This window comes from Homo sapiens, chromosome 13 (genome assembly GCF_000001405.40).
Source record: "Homo sapiens chromosome 13, GRCh38.p14 Primary Assembly".
Taxonomy (NCBI): domain Eukaryota; kingdom Metazoa; phylum Chordata; class Mammalia; order Primates; family Hominidae; genus Homo; species Homo sapiens.
In genome coordinates, this window is record NC_000013.11 from 48,161,875 (window position 1) to 48,180,828 (window position 18,954).

At 41.6% G+C, this 18,954-nt stretch overlaps 1 long non-coding RNA gene across 5 annotated transcripts in view; it reads right to left on the bottom strand.

Annotated features, from left to right (window-relative positions):
- LOC105370198 (uncharacterized) overlaps positions 1 to 18,954 on the bottom strand; it is a 114,265-nt gene that overhangs the window by 53,830 nt on the left and 41,481 nt on the right. For 4 of the 5 annotated variants that reach the window (XR_007063792.1, XR_007063789.1, XR_007063794.1 and 1 more), the window contains 2 exons: positions 15,383 to 15,462; positions 4,402 to 4,517 (listed from right to left, as the gene is read on the bottom strand). This is a non-coding gene — a long non-coding RNA (uncharacterized LOC105370198). The remainder of the gene's footprint in view (positions 1 to 4,401; positions 4,518 to 15,382; positions 15,463 to 18,954) is intronic. The other variant, XR_007063791.1, reaches the window with a different exon arrangement.

The following is an 18,954-nucleotide window of genomic DNA, read 5'->3' on the forward strand; positions in this document are numbered from 1 at the left end:
GACCTCCCAGCTCTGCTCAGTTGCTCAGCACCCCATGGAGAAGGTGAAGCCCATAATGAACACACTGCCCTGGCCACTTACTTCCTCCAACCAAAGAAGCCCTCATCTCCCGGGCCTAGACCATTTCCGGAGACCAGCTTGTGACAGAGCCACAACCTCCGGTCACTCTGTCAGCTATCTGCAGTTCCTCCTTTTTCCTTTCCTCTCTCCCCTCATAAACAATGACTGTTGATGTTTCCACTAGCTACAGATGCTGATGCCAAGATTAGCTTTGGTCAAGATGATATTCTCCATCCTCCAAAACAATGACCAAAATGTTTTATTTTATGGCTAGGAACTTTACTTTCTTTCATATGAAATATTTAATGTATTTTTCACTGTGCTCATTTTTGTTTTGTGTGGTGATAGTTAATAGCAAAACTTATGCTACCCCATCAAGAAATAAACAAGGAACTTCTTGATAACAGGAGGAACTAACCATGCAACTGAAAGCAGAGGCGCAAAAAAGAGCTTTTTCTATATTTGATTCCTTCTCTGATTTGTATAATCTCCCCATCAAAAAAAAAAAAATCAATGAATTGTGTAACTCAGTTTCTCAAGTGTCATAACAACCTGTGCTCCCTGTTCCACTCTCCCCACACACAGAATGCTTAATAAGAGATTAAAGCACACATAGACATCTATCGTTTTAAGCAGGTAGCTATATGCTTCTGCTGCCACTCACCAAAGACAGGGAAATTTCTCATTTGTATAAAGCCCAGTTACCAATACTTAACAGCTTTCTCTTCTATAAGTTCAAGTCTAAAAAATAGAATTTCAGAACAGTGGAGGAAAATATGAATATTACAACATATAATATTAAGGCAACCATAGTCTCATGGGAAAAAAAACAGGACAAAACCCAGATGATGCAGAGTTTTAAGTGTAAAAATAAAAGAATAAAAGTAATAGAGAAAAAATGGTTTTTTAAAAATACTTTTTGGAGGCTGGGCGTGGTGGCTCACCCCTGTAATCCTAGCACTTTGGGAGGCCAAGGCGGGTGGATCATGAGGTCAGGAGTTCAAGACCAGCCTGGCCAACATGATGAAACCCCGTCTCTACTAAAATACAGCTGGGCATGATGGCAGGTGTCTGTAATCCCAGCTACTCAGGAGGCTGAGACAGGAGAATTGCTTGAACCCGGGAGATGGTGGTTGCAATGAGCTGAGATTGCGCCACTGCACTCCAGCCTGGGCGGCTGAGCGAGACTCCGTCTCAAAAAAAAAAAGTTTTTGGAGTAAGGAGGACCTTTCTAAGTATTACATATAGCCAAAATACCATAAAAGTCTGATAGCTTGAACAATATACAGTTTTTTTTTTAACTTCCAGAAACAAAGCCAAAAAAAGACTAATGACAAAATGAGAAAAATGTGTTGGCAACTCTCATCACAAACATGTAATTTCCTTCAGATAAAAAGAACTCCAAACTTAATACTGTAAGACCAAAAACCCAACAGAAAAAAAAAAAAGGAAAAGGATACAAGCAGATAGTTTACAAAAAAGGAAATAGAGGTGCCTCATAAACATGTAAGAAAATGTTTTCATAAGTTAATTTAAATAATTCAATTTTACCATATTTAAATATAATTTAAATTTAAATTACGCTAATATATCATTCTCTGCCTATCAGATCGACAGACTGCAAAAAGTTTGATAATGTACTTTGCAGGCAAGGCTGTGAGAAAACAAGCATCTTACCTGTTGCTAGTGAATGTAAAGTGGTACCATCTCACCAGAAGGCAATTTAAACAATATCTTTTATTTTGCAAATGTATATAACCCTGACCTGAAATTCTACTTGTAGGACTTTATCCTATAGATATACCCATATATATGAAAAAAGCAAGTACAGAGAAATTTATTTGCAACTGCTCTGTTGATTTGCAAATAGATTATTATGCAGAACTGTAGAAGAGACTAAGGAAGTTCTGCATGTACTGGTATAGAATGATCTTCAAGATGTTTTATTAAATGAAGAAAAGCAAGGAGAGAGCAATGCGTGTGTGTGTGCATGTATATGTGGGTAACACGTGTGCAAATGCATTTAGAAATATTCTAAATATTTATTATTGTATAACTTTCTGGAAGTATATTTTAAAAATCCATTCACTTATCTCTAGAAAAGGAAATTGGCCAGCTGGGGGACAGACGGGGAGACAGACCTTCTACTGTATATCTTTTTTGTATATACCTTCTGCATTTTGAACCATGTAAATGTATTACTTTCTCAAAAATAAATAAAATATTATTATTATTATTATTATTAATTTATTTATTTTGAGATGGGGTCTTGCTCTGTTGCTCAGGCTGGAGTGCAGTGGCAGGATCTCAGCTCACTGCAACCTCCACCTCCTGGGTTCAAGTGATTTTCCTGGCCTCAGCCTCCCTAGCAGCTGGGATTATAGGCATGCACCACCATGCCTGGCTAATTTTTGTATTTTTGTAGACATGAGGTTTCACCATGTTGGCCAGGCTGGTCTCAACCCCCTGACCTCAAGTGATCTGCCCACCTCGGCCTCCCAAAGTGCTGGGATTAGAAGTGTGAGCCACCACATCCAGCCTAAAAAGAAATATACTATTATAATGAAGAATAAATAAAGAAGCAGTAATACATGAGTTTGAGTGAACTTCAAAAAGGATGAAAAGGATAGTGGATTTTATGTTATGTAAATTTTACCTCAATTTAACAACAACAACAAAAAAAAGGAGCAGGATTGCAACAGGGAGCTAAAGGCAAAGCCTGTCCTTCCTCCAGTGCACCTGTCTTTTTGGCATGGCTCTACTAATGATGTGCTGATCAAGGTTGAACAAAAGATACCTCCCCACCACAATAAAAAGCACTGATTTGTATCATTTGCCAATTTGTATCAATTGTATCGGTTCCCACCAATGAACATGGAGTTGGGACAAAATGCATACAATTGGCTCTTGAGAGCCAGTGCAATTGAGACCCAGGACACCACTGGAATTTACCCAGTTACTGAAACCAGAACCCTGGGAAACATCCTTGATTCTTAAACCTTTCCTACCCCTCGCTACCCATGGTCTGCTCAATAGCCATTGCACTCCTCCCACATTGGGTAGAAGCCTTGTAGTTTAGGAATGGATCCTGTCCCCAGGTGGTCTAATCCAATATATATACTGCCACCCATTGATATGCAAAGACATTTATCCTTTGGGATAGCCAGCTGAATCCTGGGCCACCTGGAGGCCCAGGATGCTTGCTTTGAGTCATTCCAATCTGCTAGCTATGTAAGCATTATTATTTGTTGAAAAGATAGGGAGGCTCCGGACTAAGGGAATTATAGTCATCTATTCCTCTCACTGGTGACTGACTCAGGACCTCAGTACTAAGTCATTTAGTGCATGCTATTCCCTAGTCACAGAGATTAGCCCAAAAGTGGACTCATGACTCAGTTCAGGCCAATGAGATGTGACAAGAGTTTTGCTGGAGGCATCTGAAAAATTTCCTACTCTTCAGAGAGTTGCAGGAAGAGATAATTTCTCTCTTCCTTATACAGAAGATGAGGTCTGGAACTGCCACCACCATCTTGTCCGGCAGCCTGAGCACAAATCCCTCCCCCAGAGGTGGGAGGGCCAAGTGGACGGCCAGAGCCAGACACCCCAGCCTATGTTTGGACAACCCATGCTGTAGGCCAATACATTTCCTATGTTTAAGGTAGTTGGATTTAGATTATCTGTTTCTTGCTGTTGAATGCATCTTAAGCAACATAGTTTTGACCTGTTTGTGCTGGTTTATTTTATGTGTCAACATGGCTAGGCTACAGTACCCAGTTATTCAGTCAAACACTAACCTAGGAGTTACTAGTAAGGTTTGCAGGTGTGATAACATCTACTAAAAATGACTTGAAGTAGATTATCTTTGCTAATCTGGGTGGGCTTCATCCAATCAATTGAAAGTTCTTAAGAGAATAAACAAGTTTCCTTGAAGAAGAAAAAATTCCACCTGCAGACTGCAACATCAGCTCTTGCTCAAGAGTTTCCAGCCTGCTGGCCTGTCCTACAGTTTCAGACTTGCCTAGTCAGTCCCCACAATCACATAAGCCAACTCCTGTCACAAATCTCTTGCTCTCCTTCTGTCTGTGTATATATGTATATACGCATATATATATATATTTATATACTGGCACTGTTTCTCTGGTCTAACCCTGATTAATGCACCTCTTTTTTCCTTTGTGATACTTATCTCAATTTGGGATTATATACTTTGCATTTATTATGTATATTCCAATATTCACAGTTAGACTATAGGCTTTATGGACATATGTGAGTAATTCCAGAAGTAGAATTTCTGGTCAATGATTATACACATTTGGAAGATGAAAAATATTGCTAACTTACCGTCTTCAGAGGTTGTACCAATTACACTCTTACTAGATCATAGCCTTCATGTCTTTTGTATTACTATGTGTTCCTGGCACATAGTAGGTGTTCAATAGATATAAACAGACGGAATTCTAGGAAAAGAAACACAAATTAAGGCAAAAAGACATAAAGGTATGCTACATTGGGAAGTTTTTTGTTTGACTAAATCACTTTTTCTTTTAGTTCCCCTTTCCTCTACAGGTGACTTGAAAATTTGGAATAATTCACAACCTGGTGCTTATTCAGCAGCAACAGCAGCAGCAGGCAGAACTCTGAGTTTGGGGTAAGCCCTCAGTTTGAACACAAACTCTGTGACATTCAAGCTGTCCAACCTTGGGCAGATCCTTAGCCTCTATCATCCTCAGCTTCCACATCTTTGTGGAAATGAAGCTGATGACCTTCCAGACTGGAGTGAAGATCAGGAGATAAAGCACCTGGTCCATTATGCACTGTGGACATGGGGATTATAATAAGGTCTTCCCTGCAAATTTGGGAACAGAAAGCAACAATGTGCTCTAAAAACAATGGAAATTGAGCACATAAAGCACCTGAGCAGAGACATAAGGTGACCATGAAGAGACCAGCAGGATATCAACCAAGCTGAAGTTGGTAAAACACCTAAAGGAGGATATGACAACTAGAAGGGGATTGTCAGACACAAAGCCTAGAAAAAGCAGAGTTAGAGACAAAGTGAGGCTGTGCCTCTGAAGGCATGTCCCATCAGGCCCCAAAATTCAGCCCAAAAGGTCATTCCAATCATGAGAACACATCCATCTGGCTGCCTGAACTTAATACTGTTCTACTTTTGAATTACATAAACAGCCCTTTTTGTTCAGATTCCACATTGACCAAAACCTTTCTGATAGTTTGGGGTCCTATTTGGCCTGTCCACAGGGAATTTTCTCCGGTCAGGCTCACCTGGCCAGCCAGCTCTCCTGACCCGGCATCCCACTCAAACACCTGTGTTCTCTTTTATTTTAGAGGTTAGGCAGGACAATCTGACCCAGATGGGGGAGGAAATTGCAATCATGTTTTTGTCTAATTCACAGCTCTAATTAGGGGATAAGAGAAAAATAGAGCATGAGAAGAAATGGTCCAAGAGCTGGAAAATTTGTAAAAGCACCCACATCCCTATGGGGAAGGCACCCTTGTGAACTTTGCCTCTACAGCTAAGCTGACCTCATATCAACTCTGCAAGGAAGACAGGGCAAGCACTTCACATTGTATTTATTTATTTACTTATACCCAGCTTATTCCTTAAAGGACTTAAGGCAAGCAGGCTTTAAGGGCCATCTTCCCTGACTAGTGATAAAACTAAGTGATAAAAATAAGTTTGTCCAGAATCACATACTTTTTATATAAAAGTCCAGAGACCAAACCATGACTTTCTTAGTCTAGGTCAAAGCTCTTGCCAAGGAACCAAACTGAAGATGAGAAAAGAGTGCATTTGTTCTAAACAGAATGCTGAATTCAGAAGACTTAAGGATGGCTTTAGATTAGGACTGAAGTTTGTAATCTGTGATTCAGTTTTTGTGCTTTTGTAATTTCCTTATTCCAGTCTTTTGAATTCTTTTAGATTTTTTATTTATTGTAAAATAGAAGACGTTTGATTCCAGCCATAACAGCGTAGCTTATATTGAGCTAACCCTCCCGTTGAAAACAACTGTACCAGATGGACTAAGTACATAGCACAACATTTGAAAGCATTGGAGGGCAACCAAGACAGATGATCCCTAAGAGAAGGGAGGCACATCAAAGTGATCTCTATACTCACCCTGGCCCAACTCACAGGTCAGGGAATAAAGTAAGTGGCAGTTCCATTAGGCTGAAGAGACGGATTAGAGTTTAAAGCTGCTCAAGTGGCTGCGACTTGATGGTAAAATCTCAAGGAGGAGAGAGTTGCAGAGAAATAAACCCAAAAGGCTACATGCAATCTCCCCTTGAGATGTCTGCAAACTCCTAAGCTGAGCAAGCACAAGCAGAGACTGCAGGAGAACCAAAAGAAAAGCAGCAGCTAGGAGGCTGGAGAGCTGGGCAAAGATTTTTGCAGCAGCATGGTACTGAGAAGATAGAAAAACAAAGCCCACCAAGGTGAATAGGTAAAAACTATTGGTTGAAACCCCGAGAAAGACCTGTGAATAGTCACTGCACTCCAGGCTGGGCAACAGAGTGAGACCCCCTCTTAAAGCTGATAACCAATAAGTTAAAACAAGAGAGGAAAAAAAGGAATAATAAAAGTACTTGATTCTCTCCCCTCAAAAAGCAAGAAAGGAGAAATAAAGAACAGAAATAGAAACAAGTTAACAAGGTAATAGAGTTAAACATAAATATTTCAATAATTACATTAAATGTTAATGGATTAGTACCCCAATTAGAAGATCAGAATTACTTTAAGACAAAAAAGAAAAATACGTATTCTGTTTACAAGAGACTCAATTTAGGCTGGGCGCAGTGGCTCATGCCTGAAATCCCAGCACTTTAGGAGACCAAGGAGGGTGGTTTACTTGAGGCCAGAAGTTCAAGATCAGCCTGGCCAACATGGCAAAACCCTGTCTCTACCAAAAATATAAAAATTAGCCAGGCATGGTGGTGCATGTCTGTAATTCCAGCTACTCAGGAAGCTGAGGCAGGAGAATCGCTTGAGTCAGGAGGCAGAGATTGTAGTGAGCCAAGATCACGCCACTGCACTCCAGTCTGGGTGACAGATGAGACTGTCTCAAAAAAAAAAAAAAAAAAAGAGAGAGAGAGAGACTCAATTTAAATAGAAGACACAAAGTTTAAAGAAAAAGAATGGAGACATGGAGACTGGGCACAGTGGCTCACTTCTATAATTCCAGTACTCCTGTACTTTGGGAGGACGAGGCGGGTGGATCACTTGAGGCTAGGAGTTCAAGACCAACCTGGCCAACATGGCAAAACCCCATCTCTACTAAAAAAAATACAATAATTAGCTGGGTGTGGTGGCATAAGCCTATAGTCCCAGCTACTCTGGAAGCTGAGGCAGGAGAATCACTTGAACCTGGGAGGTGGAAGTTGCAGTGACCAGAGATCATGCCACTGTGCTCCAGCCTGGGCAACAGAGCAAGACTCAGTATCAAAAAAATAAAAATAAATAAAAATTAGCTGGGCATGGTGGGCACAGGCCTGTAGTACTAGCTACTCCAGAGGCTGAGGTGGAAGGATCACTCTTGAGCCCAAGAGTCCGATGCTGCAGTGAGCCATGATCATGCCACTGTACTCCAGCCTGGGCAAGAGAGAGAGACAAACCCTGTCTCAGAAAAAAAAAAAAGAATAGGAGAAACAAAATGCCATGCCATGCCAACAGTAACAAAAAAAAAAGCTGGTAGAGCTGTATTAATATCAGACAGCACAGACTTTAGAGCAAGAAATATCTCTAAAGAAGGATGTCTCATAATGATAAAAAGATCAATTAACCGTCCTAAATTTAAATATACCTAAGAATTTATAATTTATAAATCTTTTAAAAAATGTTACCCAGCATGGTTTCAATACATATTAAGCAAAGTTGGCAGAACTAAAAGGAGAAATAGACAAATCCACCATCATTATTAGAGATTGTTTCAATAGCTGATAGAACAAGCAGACAAAAAAATCAGTAAGGATATATAAGATTTGAATAACAGAAGTAACTAAATTGACCTAGTTGACATACATATATAGAACACTGCACTTGAAAAATGCAGACTAAATACTGTTTTTCAAGAGCACATGAATACTTATCAAAATGGACCATATGCTAGCGTGTAAAGCAAGTCTCAAAAATTTCAAAGGACTGAAATTGTATGAAGTGTGTTCTCTGACTACAATGGAATCCAACTAAAAATCTATAACAGGAGGATAACTAGAAACCCCTCCCAACAAGTGTTTGAAAATTAAGCAACATATTTTTAAATAGCACATAAGTCTAAGAAGAAATAGCAATAAAATTAGAAAATATTTAAAACTAAATAATAATAAAAATAAGGCATATCAAAACATCTGAGATACAAGTAAAGAGGGTTAAAAGGCCGCGTGTGGTGGCTCACGCCTGCAATCCCAGCACTTTGGGAGGCTGAGGTGGGCAGATTGCCTGAGCTCAAGAGTTCAAGACCAGCCTGGGCAACATGGTGAAACTCCGTCTCTACTAAAATACAAAAGATTAGCCAGGTGTGGTAGCATGCACCTGTAATCCCAGTTACTCAGGAGGCTGAGGCAGGAGGATTGCTGGAACCCGAGAGGTGGAGGTTGCAGTGAGCCGAGACCACACTACCACACTCCAGCCTGGGCAACAAGAGCCAGACTCTTGTCAAAAAAAAAAGGGGGGGTGGTTAAAAAGAAATTCATAGCTTCAAATGTATACATTTGAGAAAAAGAATGATTGCAAATTCACATGATTTAAGCTTCTATCTTAAGAAGCTAGGAAGAGAACAGCAAATTAAACCCGAAGGAAGTCAATAATAAAAAGATAACAGCAGAAACCTTTGAAATAGAAAACAAATATGCAATAAAGAAAGTCTATAAATTCGAAAAGAAACTTGAGGCCAGGTGTGGTGACTTACACCTGTAATCCCAGCACTTTGGGAGGCCAAGGCAGGTGGATCACTTGAGGTCAGGAGTTTGAGACCAGCCTGGCCAACATGGTGAAATCCTGTCTCTACTAAAAATACAAAAAATTATTCAGGCATGGTGGCATGAGCCTGTAGTCCCAGCTACTCGGGAGGTTGAGTCAGGAAACTCGCTTGAACCTGAGAGGCAGAGGTTGCAGTGAGCCAAGATTGCACCACTGCACTCCAGCCTGGGTAACAGAGCGAGACTCTGTCTCCAAAAAAAAAAAAAGAAACTGGAGATGCTTCCACTTGTTTCTTAGTCAAAGCTTGTTTTAGTTCTTCCTTCCATATCTGTGTACATTTTATTTCCTTGTCTTGTCCTATCGCACTAATAGGACTTCCCATACATTGTTGAATAGGAGAGATGAGAAGGGACGTCCTTGCCTTTTTTCTGATCAGACAGGAAAAGCATACAATTTCTCACCATGAAGTATGATCTTAGCTGTAGGCTTTTTGTAGATGCTCTTTATCAAGTCGAAGAAGTTCTCTCTATTCCTAGTTTGATGAGAGTTTTTATCATGAATAAGTGTTGGATTTTGTCAAATGTTTTTTCTGTATCAATTGATATGATCATATGATTTTTTTTTTTTTAGCCTGTTGACATGGTGGGTGACATTGATTTTTTTTTTTTTTTTTTTTGAGACTCTCTCTGTTACCCAGGCTGGAGTGCAGTGGTGCAATCTTGGCTCACTGCAACTCCGCCTCCTGGGTTCAAGCGATTCTCCTGCCTCAGCCTCGAGTAGCTGGGATTATAGGCACCTGGCACCACGTCTAGCTAATTTTTGTATTTTTGGTAGAGACAGGGTTTCACCATGTTTGTCAGGCTGGTCTCGAACTCCTGACCTCAGGTGATCCGCCTGCCTTGGCCTCCCAAAGTGCTGAGATTACAGGCATGAGCCATTGTGCCTGGCCACATTGATTGATTTTTGAATGTTGAGCCAGCCTTATATATCTGGTATAAATCCCACTTGGTCACAGTATACAATTCTTTTTATATAGTGTTGGATTCAATTTGTTAATATTTTGTGTTAGAATACTTTTGCATCTATGTTCACGAGAGATACCGCTGTGTAGTTTTTCTGTTTGTCTTTTTTTTTTTTTTTTTTAAATAAGAGATAGGATCTCGCCATGTTGCCCAGGCTGGCCTCGAATTCCTGGGCTCAAGTGATCCTCCCACCTCAGCCTGCTAACTAGCTGGGACTACAGATGTGTGCTATTGTGCCTGGCAGTTTTTCTTTCTTGTAATCTCTTTATCTGGTTTGGAGATTAGGGAAGAACAGATTAGGAAGTAATGGTTTGTTTCAAAACATTCCCTGAACCTTGACTATGCTAAGGAGTGATCTTTCTGAGATCTGGATGGCCCTAGTTGGAAGGCCTGGGAAGACCTGGTAGGAATGGAACAGAAAACTAGGTAAAGATCTCAGACGTAAAGATTGTCGGGGAGTAGCCATAGTTATTTGCTCCCCTGCTAGGTTAATATCGCATTGGGAAGGTTATATACACATTTATGAATATTAAATTAACAATGGAGGCTGGGTGTGGTGGCTCACACCTGTAATCCCAGTGCTTTGGGAGGCCAAGGCAGGTGGATGGCCTGAGCTCAGGAGTTCGAGACCAGCCTGGGCAATATGGCGAAACCCCGTCTACTAAAAAATCCAAAAATTATCTGGGCATGGTGGCATGCAACTGTAGTCCCAGCTATTCAGGAGGCTGAGGCAGGAGAATCGCTTGAGCCCAGGAGGAAGAGGTTACAGTGAGCTGAGAACACACCATTGTGCTCCAGCTGGGGCGACAGAGCCAGACCCTACCTCAAAAATAAATAAATATAAACATTAACAGTGGAAGACAGTATATTGGCCAAAAAACCCCCCAGAAACCAAAAACACCTTAGAGACAGTAAATGATGTAGGATTTGAGAATGGGATGTTGGTAAAGTCTTTCTTCTTCTAAACTAAGTTTACGGTTTCTTTACCTCTTCTCCCACCTATATGGCTGAGGATGGAGGAATGAATATGTGAAACACTGCCATGATTCAGCTGTTTTTTTTGTTTGTTTGTTTTGTTTTGTTTTGAGACGGAGTCTCGCTCTGTCGCCCAGGCTGCACTGCTGGAGTGCAGTGGCGCGATCTGGGCTCGGCTTACTGCAAGCTCCGCCTCCCGGATTCACGCCATTCTCCTGCCTCAGCCTCCCGAGTAGCTGGGACTACAGGCGCCCGCCACTACGCCCGGCTAATTTTTTATATTTTTTAATAGAGACGGGGTTTCACTGTGTTAGCCAAGATGGTCTCGATCTCCTGACCTTGTGATCCGCCCGCCTCGGCCTCCCGAGTGCTGGGATTACAGGCGTGAGCCACCGCGCCCGGCCATGATTCAGCATTTTATGCTCGGGGAAACATAAACACACTACAGTAAAATCATATTAATTTGAGTTCCTAAAAATCAGACACATTATTGTATTCCACGTTGACAAAGGCGTACCTTTGTAACATGGAGATAGAGACTGCTAATGAAGTTAATGGTGTAAGCAAAATTGTGTTGGAGGTAGAATTGAAAGAAGGAAGGATTTGGACTTATTTAAAAAGAATAAACGCTTCAAGCCCGTTAATAATTATGGTAAAGCCCCATTAAGTTGGACTGTACCAATTTGGCATTTGTGCCAAAATTCATGCTAGTGCTGAATTTTACCTAGGCTAAACATATCTTTCTTCAAGATAAAAAGGTATTTTAAAGGCTCTTTCTCCGATTTCTCAAAACACCATTAAAAACAAATTAATTGTTCCTTTATAGGATATTCTTACTTCATAGAATATCCTCTATTTTAAGACACTGTTAATTACAGTTTATCATTAATTTGTAATAATATTCATGAGAAAAGAAACACTGATAAGCAAGCAATTTTTTTTTTTTTTGAGACGGAGTCTCGCTCTGTCACCAGGCTGGAGTGCAGTGGCATGACCTCGCCTCACTGCAAGCTCCGACTCCCTGGTTCAAGAGATTCTCTTGCCTCAGCCTCCCAAGTAGCTGAGATTACAGGCACGTGCCACCACAACCAGCTAATTTTTGTATTTTTTTTAGTAGAGATGGGGTTTCACCATGTTGGCCAGGATGGTCTCCATCTCCTGACCCTGTGATCCTCCCGCCTCAGCCTCCCAAAGTGCTGGGATTACAGGCATGAGCCACCGCTCCCAGCAAGCAAACTGAATTTTAAGATACATGATAATTTTGGAAATAATAAATGTGAATAATGTCCATTTTAAGATTAAAGATATTCTGTAGCCCACCTCTCCTTGCTCAGCTTTAGACCCTTATAATCCACCTACTTGTTGGACACATCCACTTCTGTTTCGATGCCCCTGAAATTCAATTCATTATTCTGTCAATCCCCTTACCCTAAACTGCTTTCATTCCTCTTACCCATTTCTATTTCCGTTATCAAAACTTTGCTCAAGTCAGAAAGCTTGGCTCCTTCTTTCCTCTCACCCTCCACATCCGATCAACCACCAAGTTCTGTCCACTTTACCTCCGAGATATGTTGAGAACCCACCCACTCTCTCACATGACCCCTGCTACCATCCTTGCTCACACAACCAGCTCTTCTCTCCTGGAAGATTGCAACAACCTCCCCACTGATTTCTGCCTTCTCACTCCCACTTCCCTCTGCTGGAACAGTATTTTTTTTTTTTTTTTTTTTGAGACGGAGTTTCACTCTTGTTGCCCAGGCTGGAGTGCAATGGTGTGATCTCGGCTCACTGCAACCTCCACCTCCTGGGTTCAAGCGATTCTCCTGCCTCAGCCTCCCGAGTAGCTGGGATTACAGGCATGTGCTAACACACCCAGCTAATTTTGTATTTTTAGTAGAGATGCGGTTTCTCCATGTTGATCAGGCTGGTCTCGAACTCCCTACCTCAGATGATCTGCCTGCCTCGGCCTCCCAAAGTGCTGGGATTACAGGCATGAGCCACCACAGCCGGCCAGTCTTTTTTTTTTAGAGATGGGGTCTTACTTAGTTACCCAAGCTGGAGTGCAGTGGTGTGATCATGGCTCCCTGCAGCTTCTACCTCCATGGCTCAAGTGATCTCCCACCTCAGTCTCCCAGTAGCTGGGACTACAGTGTGCACCACCACGCCTGGCTAACTTCTTGATTTTTTTAGTAGAGACAAGGTCTCCCTATGTTACCAAGGCTGGTCTCAGACTCCTAAACTTAAGTGATCTGCCTTGGCCTCCCAAACTCCTGGGATTACTTGAGCCACCATGCTCGGCTGGCACAGTCTTTTCCAAAATCTGTACTTGAGATCTTTTTAATAGACATCAAGACCTTTAGAATAAAGTACCAGATCCTTATTATGGCATCCAAGGCCCTTGTGATGGGAGCCAGTGCTTGGTTCTGCATCATCTCCCTCCACTTGCCTCCTTGCTCAAGAAACTCCAGCTGTCTTGACTTCTTTTAGTTCCTCAGTCATTCATAGAATGCGCTGTCACACTATGCACACATCTTACCAAAAGGTTCCTTCCTCAAGAAGGCACTTTCTGAGCCCCAGATTAGACTGAGTCCCACTGCTCTATGCTCCCACTACACACAGGTCCCTCACAGTCATAACACTCATCACTGTTACAATCATCATTCAAATCCACCTTCCTCACTAGAGTGCAAACTATGTTCCTGCACTGCACTTAATGCCTGGCACACAGTAAGCTCTCCCTAAAATGTAGGTAAATACATTAAAAAGTAATGTCATTAAAGAATAAATATTACCAAAGAGTAAGCATTCACATACATGCTGCATAGGGCCTAGACTCTGGAATCAGACTGCTGGATTCATATTCCAACTTCCCCACTTATTAGCAAAGTAATAATTGGTATAACTCTTTGTGTCTCAATTTCTCCCTTTATAATGAGTATAACAATGCATAACAATGCTACCTACTTCGTGGGGAGTTTTGAGGTGTGAATAAATTTGTCCAAATAAAGCACTTAGGCCGGGCGCGGTGGCTCACGCCTGTAATCCCAGCACTTTGGGAGGCCGAGGCGGGCGGATCACGAGGTCAGGAGATCGAGACCATCCCGGCTAAAACGGTGAAACCCCGTCTCTACTAAAAATACAAAAAATTAGCCGGGCGTAGTGGCGGGCGCCTGTAGTCCCAGCTACTTGGGAGGCTGAGGCAGGAGAATGGCGTGAACCCGGGAGGCGGAGCTTGCAGTGAGCCTAGATCCCGCCACTGCACTCCAGCCTGGGCGACAGAGCGAGACTCCGTCTCAAAAAAAAAAAATAAATAAATAAATAAAAAATAAAGCACTTAAAACATTGTCCAGAGCATAGTAAGCATTCAACAAATATTACTTATTATTATCTCATTTATCCATTCCAATAATCCTAGAAGGAATTATATTCAGTAAACTGAGGGATACATACAGTAAGAGTCCCCAGAATTTGAGTAATGTAAAGGTCACTGTCTTGAGATGGAACTACTAAAAAAGCATAAAATCAGCTGTCAGCTGAAGTTGCCCTTCCTTCAGTGATGAATTGAATATAAGCTGCTGTTGATACAGCTTTGGGAATCATCCAGATGAATTGAGGTAGCAGAATGCATCTTCGGGTCCAGACTCCGAGATTAAATGAGATAATGCTCACTATGAGCATTTAGAAAACTTTTTTTTTTGAGGCGGAGTCTTGCTCTGTCTCCCAGGCTGGAGTGCAGTGGCGCAATCTCGGCTCACCGCAGGCTCTGCCCGCCCGGGTTCACGCCATTCCTGCCACAGCCTCCCGAGTGGCTGGGACTACAGGCGCCCGCCACCATGCCCGGCTGATTTTTTGTATTTTTAGTAGAGACGGGGTTTCACCGTGTTAGCCAGGATGGTCTCGATCCCCTAACCTCGTGATCTGCCCCCTCGGCCTCCCACAGTGCTGGGATTACAGGCGTGAGCCACGGCGCCCGGCCTAGAAAACCTTCAAGTGTGATATTGGTGGCATGACTACTGTTATTATTAGTAGAGTAATTCCATTACCCAGTCAATATTATAATCTGATTGTCTGAAGCAACGTAATTGCATGTACACACAAGGATCTAGCAGAAGGGCAGAGGAACTGAAAAGCTGGGAGGGCAGGCATTAGTAATGTTTATCCAGCACCATCCAAACAAGAGGCATGTGCTTGAGAGACAACACAGGTAAAACTCATAGAACAAAGTTTCTCCTGAGACCCTACAAATACCTTGGCTCTAATTGTCACTGTGACTATACAGTGGTAAGTTAGATAAGTTAGTGGTAAGTAGTTCCTGCCCTCATGTCCAGAGGGAAGACGGACAACAAATAATCACACAAATAAAAATATAATTGCATCTTGTGCTACTTACTGTGTTAGAGGATTAGGAAAGTCTTTTCTTAAACTTTAAGTGGAGCTAGGAGTTAACCAGATGATGGGTTGAGGGGAAAGCTGTAAAGCAGAAGGTAGTAAAGAGCTTAGTGTATCTGAGGATCTGGAAAGGCCGATACGGATTGGAAGGGATCAAGGGAGAGAAGAGCACACAGGAAATGAGCCTGGAAAGGTAGGCAGGGACCAGGTCACAAAGGCCCTTAGTGGCCACTTGGAGATAGTTTGGATTTATTTTGAATATGATATGTAAGGATAAAATTATATATGATGAGATTTGCGCTTTAAAAAGATCCTTTGGTTGCTGTGTGAAAAATTGATTGGAGGCCAGGTGCAGTAACTCACGCCTGTAATCCCAGCACTTTGGGAAGCCCGAGGTTGGTGGATACTTGAGTCCAGGAGTTTGAGATCAGCCTGGGCAACATGGTGAAACCCCATCTCTACTAAAAATACAAAAATTAGCCAGGTGTAGTGGCACGCACTTGTAGTCTCAGCTACTCAGGAGCCTGAAGTGGAAGGATCATCTGAACCTGGGGAGGTCAAGGCTGCAGCGAGCCATGATTGCTCCACTGCACTCCAGCCTGGGTGACAGAGTGAGATCTTGTCTCAAAAACTATATAAATAAATAAATAAAAATTTTAAAAAATGGTTTGGAGGGGTCATTAAATTAGAGATGGTGAGACCGGTTGGGAGAATTTTGCAATAATCTAATCACAGGATAATAGTTCATGATGATCTCTTGTTCCCATCAGTTTATAATTTAGTTTTGCCTAAGCACTTTCTTTGTTCTATGGTGTTCCCTTTGAGATCACAGATGTCTACATTTATTCACAAGCTTGTGATGACTTGTAGGGATCTATTCTTGAAAGGTAGAAAGAGCTCTTCTTAATTGCAATTCTATGCCCTGAATTTAATCTCATTCCTGTCTGTCACTCACTGATTCTGCAGTTTTAACTAAATTGCTTAAGCTTTCATAGTCACTTTTTCCTCTGTACAATGGGGATAATAATCTCTGCTGTGTTTTAAAATAGAATTGCCATGATGGAATGGTCTGCTGTTTGTTTTGGCTAGCTACCTTACTGGAGTCATGACGGAGGAAGAAATGATTATGAAGTTGTTCCAGTTAAGAAACCTGATTTTATTAACCCATCCGGAGTTGATAGGCTGTAGGAATCTGACTGATGAGAACATAACTCACAAGAGACTGGTGGTTCTCTTTGCTTCTTTTCTACATTTTCTCCCTAGGTGACTTCTCTAATCCTAAGGGCTTTAAATGCTTTTTATACACCAGTGACCTCCAAATGTCTGGGACAGTCTGGACCTCTCTACTAATCTTCATTGCCATATACCTAAATGGCCACTTGGCATTTCTCCTGGGAGGTCCCATATGCTTCTTAAACTTAACATATTCAAATTGAACTCATGTTCACTCCATAATACCTGCATTCCCAGCCAGAGCCACATCTAATCTATTCCCCCTTTACCTTTGCTCATTTTAATGAATGGATCGTATCTCTTCAACCCAATTGCTTAAGCTGGAATCCTGGACTGTTCCTTCATGCTCCTTCTCTGCATCCAATCTATCTCCAGCTCTTTTAATCCTGTCTCCTAAACCTATCATCAATCTACCCCCTTTTACTACCACTCTTGTCCAAGTTACCTTCTACCTTTCAAGAATAGATCCCTACAGACATCACAACCTTGTGAAGAAATGTAGACATCTGTGATCCTGAAGGAAGACCAGAGAACAAAGAAAGCTCTTAGGCAAAACTAAATTATAAATCAGTGGGAAGAAGAGATCATCATGCACTCAGGAAGCTAATGCAGCCTCCATACATATGTGTACTGTGAAGGATAAGAAGGAATTAGAGTAGGTGAATGGAGAGGGGCAAAAGTCTCAGGTTTAAGAACATAATTCACCAAAACACAGGGCACACAAGGGGCAGGCCTTACCAAAAAAAGCCAGTGACCAGTGAGCTATGGCTCAGTGCAGAAGGATTGGCAGGATCTGTCAAGAGCAGGAGATAAGGAAGTAGAGGCACAACAGACTTACCTTTCCTGGACTACAGAGTCTGTATGGGTGACTACGTAAACATATTTGGATAACTGGAGTAGGACCAGATTATGTCTGCCTGGAAAGCCACGTTGAAAACGTTGAATTTAATTTCATAGTCTACAAAGTGGCTGTATAGATTATTGAAGAGGGAGAATATATAACAAAATTTTGGAAAAATTACTATGTTGGTGGTGCTCTAGGTAAGATAAAGAAGGGAAGGACTGGAATCCCAGAGGAAAACTAGGAGGCTCTTAGCCTAATAAATCAGTGGCTTTTGAAACTTTCCTTAGGAGAGAACACTTTCTGAAAATGAAATCTTATGTGAAATACTAGTGGTATAAAGCAGACAAAAAACCTGGGTTGTTAAAGTAAGCATGGTTTATGTTATAGTTTTAAACATATAACCTGCGTTTATAATAGAGTCGACCAAAAGATAAAGAAAACCGATTAAATAAACATAAACATTTTAATTCTGGGGGTGATGGAAGATAGCTGCATCTTGCATTAGCTTTAGCATCCAAGTATCCAATTTATTTCTGAATTTTATTTTGGTTTTACGGTACTAAGAAAAATCCTGATTCACTTTGATTCACATGATAAGTACTTACATATGGTAATTTTTATTTTTATTTTTGTATTTTACAATTTTCCTGCAATCCCAAGGTACCCTTCAATTAAACTAACTCAGAAGGTAGTGTCATAGGAATTTTTGTTTCCATAGTAAAAATATGAATAGCAAGAAGCCTCCAAAGCAAGAACAACGACAAAAAAAAGTGGTCATCTATAGCGTGAAGTGATCATGACAGGCCATGGCATAGGCCATTTGCTCCTGCCCAGTCAATGTGGCAAGAGAGTGACAGTGCTTGAAAGATGCTATGGAGCCTGGCTAGGCATTTAATCAGGCGCAGTGTGCCTGCACAGTAGTAATGGCTTCATTTGCAGTTTTATAGGAGCAGACGTGCACAGTCTGAAAGTGAGAAAACAACAGTCTACTATGTCAACTTTCCCAATATTGAAGACTTTAGGCTTTACATTTATGTTAGGATCTGCTGGCGTCACAATTCTTTTTTTCATTTGGATTACCCTAAGACTCAAAACTAATGTAGGTGGGGAGTTGGAGGAGAAGAGGAGGCGTCAGGTCTGAGATATTTTTATTTTATTTATTTATTTATTTATTAGTTTTTGAGATGGAGTCTCGCACTGTTGTCTGGACTGGAGTGCAGTGGTGGGATCTCAGCTCACCGCAACCTCCGCCTCCCAGGTTCAAGCATTTCTCCTGCCTCAGCCTCCCAAAAAGCTGGGATTACAGGTGCCCACCACCACGGCCAGATAATTTTTTGTATTTTTAGAAGAGACGGGGTTTCACTATGGTGGCCAGGCTGGTCTCAAACTCCTGACCTTGTGATCCACCCGCCTCAGCCTCCCAAAGTGTCAGGATTACAGGTGTGAGCCACTGCGCCCAGCCAGGTCTGAGATATTTTTCTAGCTAACAGAAGAGT